Consider the following 12,101-nt stretch of genomic DNA (forward strand, 5'->3'; position numbering starts at 1 on the left):
TTAATGAAGTACCATTTTGATATTGCAGGTATGAGACCAAGGGATACATGTCTCCCATTTGTGGGATATTAATAATACAATGCCAGTTCCAGGGAAAACACTCAGAATATTGTTCTGATTCTCTTCTAAGACCATTCCTGTCCTGAAAACTCTTAGTGAACTGAGAGTACCAGCACTCCACCAACACTGACAGAATAAAGAAGACAACCAGCATTTGTTGTCTATATATTGGGTGAGGTGCTTTGTATACATCTTCTCATGCAATCATTGCAATATTCTTGTGACATAGGCACCATTGTCCTCATTTGAAAAAGGAGGAAAAGGAGGCTGAGAGAGGTTCAATAGCAAGCCAGGTTATGCTTCTAGTAAGTGATAGAAGTGGGATTTGAAGAGCATCTACTCCTGGAGAACCCCCCTTTTGGGCTTTACACAACTCTTTGGAGGGACTCAGGAAGAGGAGAGCTCCTTCATGTATATTGCCCATGGGTCCTCTCCAGGTGAAGTATTTTGAGGTTCTGAAACCATTATCAGACTTGGTTGTAAATTCCCTCTCCATCTTGGACCTTTTCCTGTGCTCTTCCAATGGCCCTTTCCAATGGGTAATTAGACCTCAGTTGTCTACATGAGTGAGATCTGCTCAGCATGGAGGGGGCTCTATTTTTCTACACACTTGATAATTTGTAGATTTGGGAAAGCATGCCCAGTATGGCTTGTAGGGGCTAACACATATGCCCTCATTCATATGTCAACTTGGCTTCATGGGTAGGGGCTGCCTGGAGTCCTGGGATGAGAAAGACTACAAAGTTGTATTCCAACCAATGACATGGAGGGGCCTGGTTAATAAATGATTTCTATTAGGAGTTTGGGAGGTGGGGGATGTGTGAATGTTCTAAGTACTTGCCATTCTGGGTCTCTCCGTAGCCCCTAAACCTGTCTGTCCTAGAACTACTTGAAAGTTAAAATATTGATGTCTGGGGCCGACTCCAAATTAGTTAAATCTGAATTTCTAGGGAATAGGGCCTAAGCTTCACTTTTTTAAAAAAATTGGATGTGTTAGAATGTATATAGCCACAATCGAAAAACACCATTGGTCTTCACTATCCTTAGGCATGTTTGAAATTTATCTGCCTTGATCCTGCCCTGATCTTGCCTTTGCTACAATATTAAATGGGCTCTTATTAACAATGAATACATCTAATTATTCTCTAGATCTTTTATTAGCTTGAATTATTCTTAGATATTCTACCACATAAAATAATTTGAATGTATAGTCTTTGTGGTTGATGGTCTAAATAGCTAAACTCAAACCTCACTGCAGCTGTGACTAGAAAGTCCTCATTGATGGAGAACCCTAGAGGTCCTTTTAGAGGAGAAAAAATAATTCAGTGGGCCAAGCTGTATGTAATATTTTGCCTCTGATTCTCAGATTCCTTGTTGGCAAAATGGGAATGCAAAATAAATAAGGAGTCTATAGTCAGTACCTAATAAGCATTTGTTGAATAAATAAATTAGTGGAATACAAAATTAAAATACTTGTCTCATTAAACATCTAGAGAAAAAGGAGACAGATATAGAGCTAATCCATGCCTGTTACACCATTTAATGCTAGGTGTATGGAAGCAGATACTGTGTCTCTCTAGTTTCACAGGCTCTCAGATAGAGAGGAACTGTACTCTAGGAGCTGCATGTGACTAGTCATTCTCAAGAAGTCCCCACCCCAATGCCTGATTTGATGAGATTCTGAACTTTAGTTGATGCTGAAGGGGGAGGAGATTTTTAGGGATCTTGGGAGGACCCAAGTGTATTTTGCATGGGGTGGAGGATGTGAATCACTGGGGGCTGGAGGACAGGCTTTTTTGTTCTGATAGAAGCCAGCAGTCACGTTGTGGGTGTTCTATGAAGAGGCCCAGTAGCAAGAAACTGGAGGTTGTGGGAGTGTCTGACCAAGAGCCAGCCAAAACCTGAACCTGCTAATAATCACATGAGGGAGCTTGGAAAGGAAGCGTCCCTCAGTTGAGCCTTCAGATGAGACCATAGCCTTATATTACTCCTTGATTGCAGCCTTTGGGAGACTGTGAGCCAGAAGACCCAGCGAATCTTTGCCTGGGCTCCTGACTCATAGATACTATCAGAAAAACACTTGCTGTTTTAAGCCGCTAAGTTCTGGGTTAATTTGTTATTTAGCAATAGATAACTAATATAGAAGAAAAGGGAGAGAACATTTATTGAATCCTTCACTATACCCCAGGTACTTTGTAAACCTTTTTCCATTTCATCCTTAAGTCAACCTGGATGAAAATATTCAGGTTCAGAGATGCTGGGTGAGTGTGAGGGACAGGATATGAATCACTACTGTTTGATTTGAAAGCCTGTGCTCATTTCTCTATTCCAGGATACAAACCAGGAGATGTTTTCTATTCTATGTTTCTTTTTTTTTTTTTTTTTTTTTTTGTGGCAGGGAGACAGGGTCTTGCTCTGTCATCCAGGCTAGAGTGAAGTGGAGCAATCATGGTTCACTGCAGCCTTAAACTCTTGGGCTCTGGTGATCCTCCTGCTACAGCCTCCCAAGTAGCTGGGATTATAGGCATGCACCACCACACCTGGATAGTTTTTTTTTTTTTTTTTAATTTTTATTAGAGACAAGATTGCACTACGTCACCCAGGTTGGTCTCAAACTCCTGAGCTCAAGGGATTCTTCTGCCTCAGCCCCCACAAAGTGCTAGGATTACAGGTAGGAGCCACTGTGTCTGGCCACATTTTCTCTGTTCGTAAAGTCAGCAGTAGAATAGCTAACATTGTTGCTAAAGAGTTTGTATAGAGTGAGTAATTATTAGTGTCCCTGCATGCAGCCACCTGCTGTTGCTGACCTTCTGTGCCTCTGCAGCCAAATACACATCAGGTACATATGTACACACACTCCACAGGCACACAGATGCCTCCACAATACACATGTGCCCAAGATGCAATTGCGAGCACACAACTGCACAAATAAGCACACACATGTGTCTTCACAAAGAACTATCTCCACCTTCATTTTCTCCCATCCAAGTACTAACCAGGTCTGACCGTTTTTAGCTTCCAAGATCAGATGAGATTGGGGCATGTTCAGGGTATATGGCTGTAGCCTACATCCTCTTTATTTATTTATTTATTTTTGAGACGGAGTTTCGCTCTTATTGCCCAGGCTGGAGTGCAATGGCGCGATCTCGGCTCACAGAAACCTCTGCCTCCCGGGTTCAAGCCATTCTCCTGCCTCAGCCTCCCGAGTAGCTGGGATTACAGGCATGCGCTACCACGCCCAGCTAATTTTGTATTTTTAGTAGAGACGGGGTTTCTCCATGTTGGTCATTTTTTAATGAAAGACCCTTTGAGACAGTTCATACTTAAATATGTAAATAGTGCACAAGATTTTGCAGCCTGAACAGAAACGGCCACTATAGATTTTTCTCTTTAGCAATTTTCTGTGTGCTGTAAGCAAATTTGAAATCTGGCTAGAGACTTCAGAAATCATGTTGACCACTCCCCATATTGTGCAGATGCGGAAATTGAGGCCCTGAGGGACTTGCCCAAATACCCCAGCAAAGTGGTATGAACTGAAGTCCAGGTCTCCCAACTCCCAGTTGACTGTCCTTGCTGTGGCACTGTGCACCGTCGGTGGGGAGAACACTCCTGGTCCTTGGGAATCCATTTCCAAAGGACATTAGGAGCACAAACAAGTTCATGCCCTATTCTTCTTTCCACATAAAAGAAGTTGATGACATTTATGCTTTCACAATATCCCATTAAGATAGAACATTGTTGAATTATTTGTGGATTAAATACAGATGTGCAGGGATTTTAGGGCCCTGATTGATTTTCTATTGAAAGAAGTGAAAGGAATGTTAATTTACAACTGGCAAATGTTAGCTCTTAGGAGGAGGCAAAACAGCATTTCAAAGGCCTGTTTTTTGTTTGGTTTTGGTATTTCATGAAAGAGATTTTTCTGTGCAAAGTGGCAGGAAGCCATTTTCAACAAGAGCTAAAGGGAATGAAGATTTAAAAAATGGACTGAAAACAAATTCAAAGGTGCCAGGCCTTTGTTGCTGCAAGCCCCTCCTGCAGGATGAGAGGCTGCTAAAACAAAATCAATAATTTAAGCAACTTTCTGTCCCTCTCTCCCCTGCTATTCTGGTAAAATGATTTGACATTTCAGACAACAAGGAATGAACATCAGACCAGGAAGAAAAGGGCTTGGGTATGAGTCCCAGTTGTGTGATTTTAAGTAAATGATTAAACGTTTCTGAATTTGGTTCTCTCATCTCTAATAATGAAACCACCATGCTTACATCTTGAGTGTAAAAAATGCTCATTTACTAGAACTCATCCCATATCATATGCCACATTAGGATTTGTGCAGAGCGATCTCATTAATTCCTTTTTTTTGTGTGTGTGATATGGAGTTTCACTCTTGTCTCCCAGGCTGGAGTGCAATGGTGCGATCTTGGCTCACTGCAACCTCTGGCTCCTGGTTTTGGTTTCAAGCGATTCTCCTGCCTCAGCCTCCCGCGTAGCTGGGATTACAGGCACCCACCACCACGCCCGGCTAATTTTTTGTATTTTTAGTAGAGATGGGGTTTCACCATGTTGGTCAGGTTGGTCTCAAACTCCTGACTTCAGGTGATCCACCCACCTCAGCCTCAAGTGCTGGGATTACAGGTGGAAGCCACCACACCTGGCCTTGTTAATTCTTTATAGCAGCCCTGTAAGGAGGTCTGTTCATTCTCACCATACAGCTAAAGGTGCTGAGGCTCAGAGAACTCAAGCTCCTCACTCAGGGTCACACAGCTAAGAAGTGACAAGGTGGAGATTTAAACCTATGCTTGTCTGGCTAGGCACTGTCTTATATAGTAAGAGTGTGGGGATGACAGATTGCAAAACAAAGCAAAATAAAACTCACAGGCTCTGAAGATGTAGTGACTGCCTACTCTGCCCCTGTGCTAGTGACCCAGAGTTAAAGATGGGTTCTCATCATGGTCTCTGCTTCTGAGGATCCCTCAGCAGCTTGAGAAGAAAGCAAACCTGGTGGTGGCAACGAGGGGATCTGATACTTTGGATTCCATTTTGGACTCACGTTTAAAGTGCATATGGGCTACCCACGTGGGTGTATGAGCCGAGGACCAGAGCAGAGGTCTGGGTTTGGGACCAACATCACCAAAGATGATAGCCAACACTGAGTGACTGCTGAATTTGTGCTGGGCACTGTGCCAAAGAGTTCTCAGGCATTAACCCATCCTTTTTTTTTTTTTTTTTTTTTTAAGACAAAGTCTCACTCTGTCACCCAGGCTGGAGTGCAGTGGCACAATCTTGGCACACTGCAACCTCCATCTCCCGGGTTCAAGCAATTCTCCTGCCTCAGCCTCCGAGTAGCTGGGACTACAGGTGCACGCCCCCACACTCAGCTAGCATTTTTGTATTTTTAGTATAGACAGGGTTTCACCATGTTGGCCAGGGTACCTCGATCTCTTGACCTCATGATCCACCTGCTTCAGCCTTCCAAAGTGCTGGGATTACAGGCATGAGCCACTGTGCCCGGCTGCATTAACCCATTCTATCCTCAGACTGATGCTGTGAGGCTGCTGTCCTTACCTTGCTGTACTGAGCAGTGAGAAAACTTGCTTGTAGGTGAAAGTTAAAACCTCAAGGAGGATTCTTCTTGAAAGCCATCCCAGGGTTTTTCTATTTGGTGATTCATGATCAATCTTATGCCCCAAGTCCCCACATTCCCTCTATTTTGAGTCACTCAGTCTCATAAGAGCCCCTGGTGCCTTTATTTTGCTTCCTTTGAATTCTGGATTCAGCGTGCATCAGAAATGTTCTCCCTGAGAGCTGGAAAGCATTTTTGTGATGGCTGGGCTGGAGGGCCATTAAGAAAATAACTTTGCACACCAACAAAAAAGACTAAAGTCTTAATTGCTGATCAAAAAGTCAACAGGAAAGGATGCACTACTGCATATATGGTGAGGGACGCATTGCCTTGGTCAGGGCACAGGTCCTTTGTCCCTGAGTCCTGTTTCCTTGTGTGGCTAGAGGGCATTTTCACACTCTCTGTCCACAAAAGACCTCAGGGGGAACCAAAGAGCAGCATGAGCAGAGGGCCATGGTCATGGGCATTGACTGGGTGCTTGCTACATGCAAATGCTCTGTGTTAAGCACCTTGGAAACACTAACTCATTTACTGTCCCAACAAATCCAGGTTGTAGGTACAAGTAATAGTCCCACTTTACAGGTGACAAAATTGAGGAATAGAGAGGTCCGGTGATTTGCTCAAGATCACACAGTACATGTGGCACGGCTGAGATTCAGACCCATAAGTGAGACTCTAGAGCTTATTCTTCTCACTGAACCCCCTGCCTCTCATGGCTATGTGGCTCACGCTCCCATAGACTTAAGTCCTGAGGCTGAGGAAGGGTCCTCAGATAAAAGACGTCAATTTCTGTGTCTTTTTTGAGCAGCCCTCATGAACATCGACACTCATTTGAGGTTACTGAGCGCATTTGCCTGACCTTAACATTGTCATCCCAAAGCTGTTTGCCAATTCATTCCCATCTCCACAGCCCTATCTTTCTCCAGCAGTCTTGGTCTGTGGTTCTAATGAACATAGGAGGCTTGGTTCATTTGGATGCAGGAAGTGAGGAGGAATAACATGAATGAGATTGACAAGATGCCTCAATTCTAATCTGTTGAATGGAGATATTTATCATGCCTCCTTATGCAGTGCTGTAAGGATTAGATGAGATTCTTTATATAAAGGACTTAGAACAATACCTGGTGTGTTGTTAGTACTCAATTAACTTTATACAATGTATTAGTCAGGCTTTGTTGTGATGATGCTACATAACAAGTAATCTCAAAATCTCAATGCCAGCAACAAACATTTACTTCTCATTTCCATAGGTCAGCTGTGGTTCTACAGGGCTCTTCTGGGCTTGGCTAGATTCAGATGGGCCTGGATCTGGGTGGTGAATTGGCTTCCTATTTGCTTCACTTGGCTGTCATGAGAGGATCCAGGGAAGTAGCAGCAGTTATCTGAAGCATATTCATCTCATGCTGGAGGACAGGATCACCAGAGGCCATGCAGGAATGTTTAACGCCTCTGCTTGGATGTGGCATTCACTGAGTCACTCACATTCCATTAGCTGAAGCAAGTCACATGGCTAAGCCCAATGTCAGTGGGGTGGGGAAGTACACCACTTCCATGGAAAGGAGGGAAAACGGATGTTTGCTGAATAATAATACAATACTATGATCTACCACAATACTATGATCTACCATTATACTGTGATCTACCATTAACATTTCTTGAGTGCCTAATAGCTCTCAGGAAGTGTTCCAAGAACCAGGGATTCTAGAGATGAATCACATAGCAGCTCTGCTCTCTGCTCTCAAGGGTGCCTTCACTACAGACTGTGGTCACTGCAAGGACAAAGGTGGCCCCAGGACAACTTAACCTCTCCTGAACTATTTTAATTCTCACAATTTCCCTGTAACCCCAGTATCACTATCCTTATTTTACAGACAAATAAACTGGGACTCAGAGAGGTTCAGTAATTTTCTTTTGTTCCCATGGCTAGAAAATGGCTAAGCCTAGAACCAAACCTTGGTGTGATTGTTCCAGGGTTCTGTTCTTTGCATGACCACTCTGGACTCAAGTATTTAGGCAGAGGTATTAGAACTGAGATGCAGACTGACCAAAACTCTCATATCTTGGCAGGAGCCCAAGTCTGCATATGTATGAGCCTCATCCACACATACGCAAGCTCTGGCTGAGACATCTGTAACCTAGACTTTCATAGCTGGGCTACTAACTTCAATCATCTGAAGGAAGATTCAAGTTATCAACTGCCACCAATTCAGTTAATTATCCATAAACTTGTTTCTATATTGCCCTGTGATGCTCAGTCCAAGCCCAAGTCAAATGCTCCCTCCTGAAAACTTCTCTGATTCCCTAGCCACCAGTTTCTGCCTGTGTTGCCTGTCCACAGCACCAAACACTTAAGACACTTTCTCCATGATCCTACAATTTTTTTATTTTTTTGAAACAGGGTCTCACTCTGCGCCCAGGCTAGAGTGCAGTGGTGCACATGATCCTACAACCTTGATGTATATATTTTAGGCAAACACTGCTCACAGAAAGCCCATATTCTCCTATTCCACCTCCACAGTCCCCAGAGTTCCAGCCCAGTGCTTGGCATTCAGCAGGGGCTAGATGAAAGTGTGTGGAATGAGTGAATGAACGATGGATGGATAGAGGCTGCTGGGTCCTTAGGAAAGAGAGCAGATGAGATTTATTTTTTATTTTTGTCCCTATCCCCTCTTTGGTCCTTTGGAGGGATTTTAGTCAGGATGGGTCTGGTGCAACCAGGTGATCCAAGGGTTATAGGCACAGAGGAAAGTAACTGGAGCTCCCTTTGGGTACCACAGTAAACACTGGTGATGGAATGCCATTGTCTTATCTTCTGAGAAGTAGCAGGAGGCTTCCAGATTCTTGTGTTTCATCAACTGGCTCCAATCATTAAGCTAAATACTCAGCTTATGCAATGCACTTGCCCAGCTGATTTAGAAGTGGCACCTTCGCAATCAGTCTGGAGCATTTGTGTGGTCACTGTATTCCAACATTCACTACAATTAGGGACTGCCAGAGAAGACTGATTGTCTTCATGGGTTACTTATAACCAAATCATAGTAGCAATCATTATGTAAAGAGAGTTGTTTCTCCACACCCCCAACTTCCCCGCCTCACCCACCCCCAATGTCAATCCATCCATTTTATTTAATGCTTCTGGCTGCAGTGATTAGATGTCATGAGCGTGATAGGGCCTTCAGTTGGAAAGTGCTAGAGGCAAAGGAGTTTTGTTATTCTCATCCTTAGAGACACAGAATCCAGAGGTAAAGGGGACTTAGAGATTTCTAGTCCAGCAGTCCCGTGTTGTAGATGGACAAACTTGAGTATCAAAGTCAGGTAGCTTCATGAAAAGAGCATAAATGTGGAAATCCAAGGCTCCATTTCTAACTCAGGCTTAATCACAGATAACGTGTGTGATGTTGAGCTACTTGCTTAGTGTCTCTGGGTCTGAGTTTTCCTTTCTAGAAGATGGGGAAACTAATACTTATTCTAGGATGATTAGAGATAAAGTGTAGAAGTTGCCTGGTGTATGGCAGCTGGTACAATGGATGCCATAGTAAAGGAGTTGGTGCCAGCATCACTGCATCACTGCTCTCCTTCCATCACTCCACATTGCCTTCAACTGGCTGAGTGCTGCTGCAGAAGAACTGACTCCTATGTTCCCTGGCTCTCAGCATGACTCAGTTTGACTTTTCATAAGTGCAGGTAAGCAAGATAAAATGGAAGTTCTTGTTCCTCTCTACAGACAGAAAATACCAGCAGGAGACCAGCCAAGCAGAGCTGGGGGAAGTCTTGAGACTCACCCGATGGTCTCCATGATCTTTGTCTTAGTTCCTTTGAGCTGCTAAAACAAAATACCTTAGATTAGGTAATTTATAAACAACAGACATTTATTTATTTATTTATTTATTTATTTTTGCAGTTTCTGAGGCTGGGAAGTCTAAGATCAAGGCATCTGCAGATTCAGTGTCTTGGTGAGGGCTTGCTCTCTGCTTTAAGATGATGCCTTCTTGCTATGTCCTCATGTGGTGGAAGGGGTCAAAAGTTCATCTTCATCTCTTTTATAAGGTCATTAATCCCATTCAGAATGGCTCTGCCCAAATGCCTTAATCAGCTCCTAAAGGCACCACCTCTTAAAACTATCACCTTGATTAAATCTCCACATATGAAATTTGGAGAGACACAGACATTCAGACCATAGTAATCTCCATCCTCTGATGTGGACCAGCAGCACACTCTCAGTCTTACGTAAATGACTCTGCAAGTGCAGCTTTCTGAGCTCCATTCCAATTGTACCCCCCCCCCACCCAACTTCTACACCAGTTTTGGTGAAGCCCTATGTAATCTCATGACCTACAGGTAGATTTGATAGATGGTGTTATGGTACCAGGAGTGGGCAGTGGCCAAAACACAAACCCTAAAATATGTGGCTCTAGAGCCAGATGGCAGTCAGCAAGAGAACCGTTACTGAGGGTTGGAAAGATGGTAATCTATCTTATGCAGTGGTGAAATATTTGGTAAAGCTGTTGTAGGAATAACTTCAAGGGCGGATGATGTGCTGAAGGAACTTGAAGCTTAAGGTGAAAAGATGGGGAAACTGAACATTAGTAACATCCCTTGGTCACTACTGTAAGAAAGAGATGAGCTCAGAAAAGAATTGGCTAAATTGTAAGCAGGTATAAAAAGAAATAGAGAGGGTCCAGGACTTCTGGAGTCCCATTTCTCCCAGGAAAGGGCCTGCCTCAGTATCCCTGCCAAGCTCAGTTACTGGCTAGAAGCAGCTTGAGTGAAGCTTGAACTCAGTGCAGAACTGAATTTCAGAGTGCTGCAGCTGGGCTCTAGGTCATGGACGTGGGTTGAATTTTTCCCCCTCAAATTCATATGTTGAAGTCCGAACTCCTAGTACTTCAAAATGTTACCTTATTTAGAAATGTCCTTGCTGATATTATTAATTAAAACAAAGCCCTATGGAGTATGGTGGACCCCTAATCTAATATGATGGGTGTCCTTATCAAAAGAGGAAATTTGGACACAGGCATGTATAGAAGATGATGTGAAGCCACAGAAAGAAAGTGGCCATTTATAAGCCAAGCGGGGAGCTCTCAGAATGAAATCAACCCTGATGACACCTTGGTCTCGGACATCTATCCTCCAGAATTGTGAGAAAATACTTTTGTGTTGTTTAATCCATACACTTTGTGGTACACTCAGCCTTCCTGTGAGTTTTGCATCCTTGGATTTAAGTATCCACGGATCAAAATTATTCAGGAAAAGGAACACTAAAAATAACAATACATCAATAAAAATAATGCAGTATAACAACTATTTACACATAGCATTTACAACGCATCAGGTATTATAGGTAATCTGGAGATGATTTAAAGTAGATGGGAGGATGTGTGGGGTGATATGCAAATACTATGCCATTTTATATCAGGGACTTGAGCATTTGTGGATTTTGTATCCTTGGGGTCCTGAAACCAATAGCCATGGATACCGAGGGACAACTGTATTTTGTTCCAGCCATCCTAGTACACTCATGCAGTCAGGCGCAGTCCCTGGAGTTGGAGGTCTGCCAGGTTCTTCTCATGGATGCCACAGCAGCTACCATGACACCAGCAGAAGTGTGGAAGGCACTTGCAGACTGGTGTTGGCTGCTTCTGGAAACCCTGCTTCTACCACATGTGTAAGACACGTGGCTCATTTGAATGTGGCTTTTGTTGTCAGGAGGAAAAAAAAAAAGACACATGGCTCAGTCCCCTCTTTCCCTCCAGCTGACAGGCAGTCAACCACCTGGCAGGTGAGCAAAGCTATCCTAGACTTTCCCCACCATCTCTCAGCCTCGCTACCACCTGATCACACACATGTGAGCAAAACCAGCCAAGATCAGTCTAGTTCAGCCCAGAAGACCCCCTCCTGGGCCACTGCCTGGTAAACTTACAAGCTAAATACAATTTGGGGGAGTGGTTTCTTCCAGCAGTAGCTACCGCTAACTGAGGATAATTATAACCTCACAGAGGAAAAGCCACTTGAGGGTGTGTTTTTGAGCTGGTTTACACAATAAATTCAACCCCGTTGGAGACCCTAGTGAGCTGTGGAGAATGCAGTCAACACTGTAGCTCTGAAGCATAAGTGGCTGAGGGACTAACCCAGTGAGTCTCATCCCCATCGTTGAGGGTGGTTCTCGCAGACATTAACTCTCCTGAACTGCTGGGCTACGGGCTGAGCCAGTTTCCTTAGCTTCAGAGGAAGTTGAGGTAGAAAAGTTGAGCCTCAGAGGGCATTGAGATGAAAAGCCATCAGGGTGCCCAGGAACTGTCCCCCCGAGCAGCAGCTGCAGTCAGCTACAGTGGCATCTCCTGCACGTGGTGAATCTAAGTTATCTAAGTTGTAACATGGACAATGCAAAGAAACAAGGGGGTTACAGGATAGGGAGACC

General features: G+C 43.9%; 1 protein-coding gene and 1 pseudogene across 18 annotated transcripts in view; both read right to left on the reverse strand.

Annotated features, from left to right (window-relative positions):
- SLC2A9 (solute carrier family 2 member 9) overlaps positions 1-12,101 on the reverse strand; it is a 269,246-nt gene that overhangs the window by 18,711 nt on the left and 238,434 nt on the right. For 3 of the 18 annotated variants that reach the window (XM_011513861.4, XM_011513860.4, XM_047415978.1), the window contains one exon: positions 8,045-9,503. The exons of 12 other annotated variants lie outside the window; for them this stretch is intronic. In XM_011513861.4, coding sequence (XP_011512163.1) covers positions 9,462-9,503 — 42 coding nt within the window. In that variant the 3' untranslated portion in view covers positions 8,045-9,461. Of the gene's footprint in view, positions 1-8,044; positions 9,507-12,101 lie in introns of those variants that run through there. 3 more of the 18 variants (XM_017008458.3, XM_011513859.4, XM_017008460.3) reach the window with 1 other exon arrangement.
- On the reverse strand, positions 3,016-3,126 carry RNA5SP154 (RNA, 5S ribosomal pseudogene 154; annotated as a pseudogene).

This window comes from Homo sapiens, chromosome 4 (genome assembly GCF_000001405.40).
Source record: "Homo sapiens chromosome 4, GRCh38.p14 Primary Assembly".
Taxonomy (NCBI): domain Eukaryota; kingdom Metazoa; phylum Chordata; class Mammalia; order Primates; family Hominidae; genus Homo; species Homo sapiens.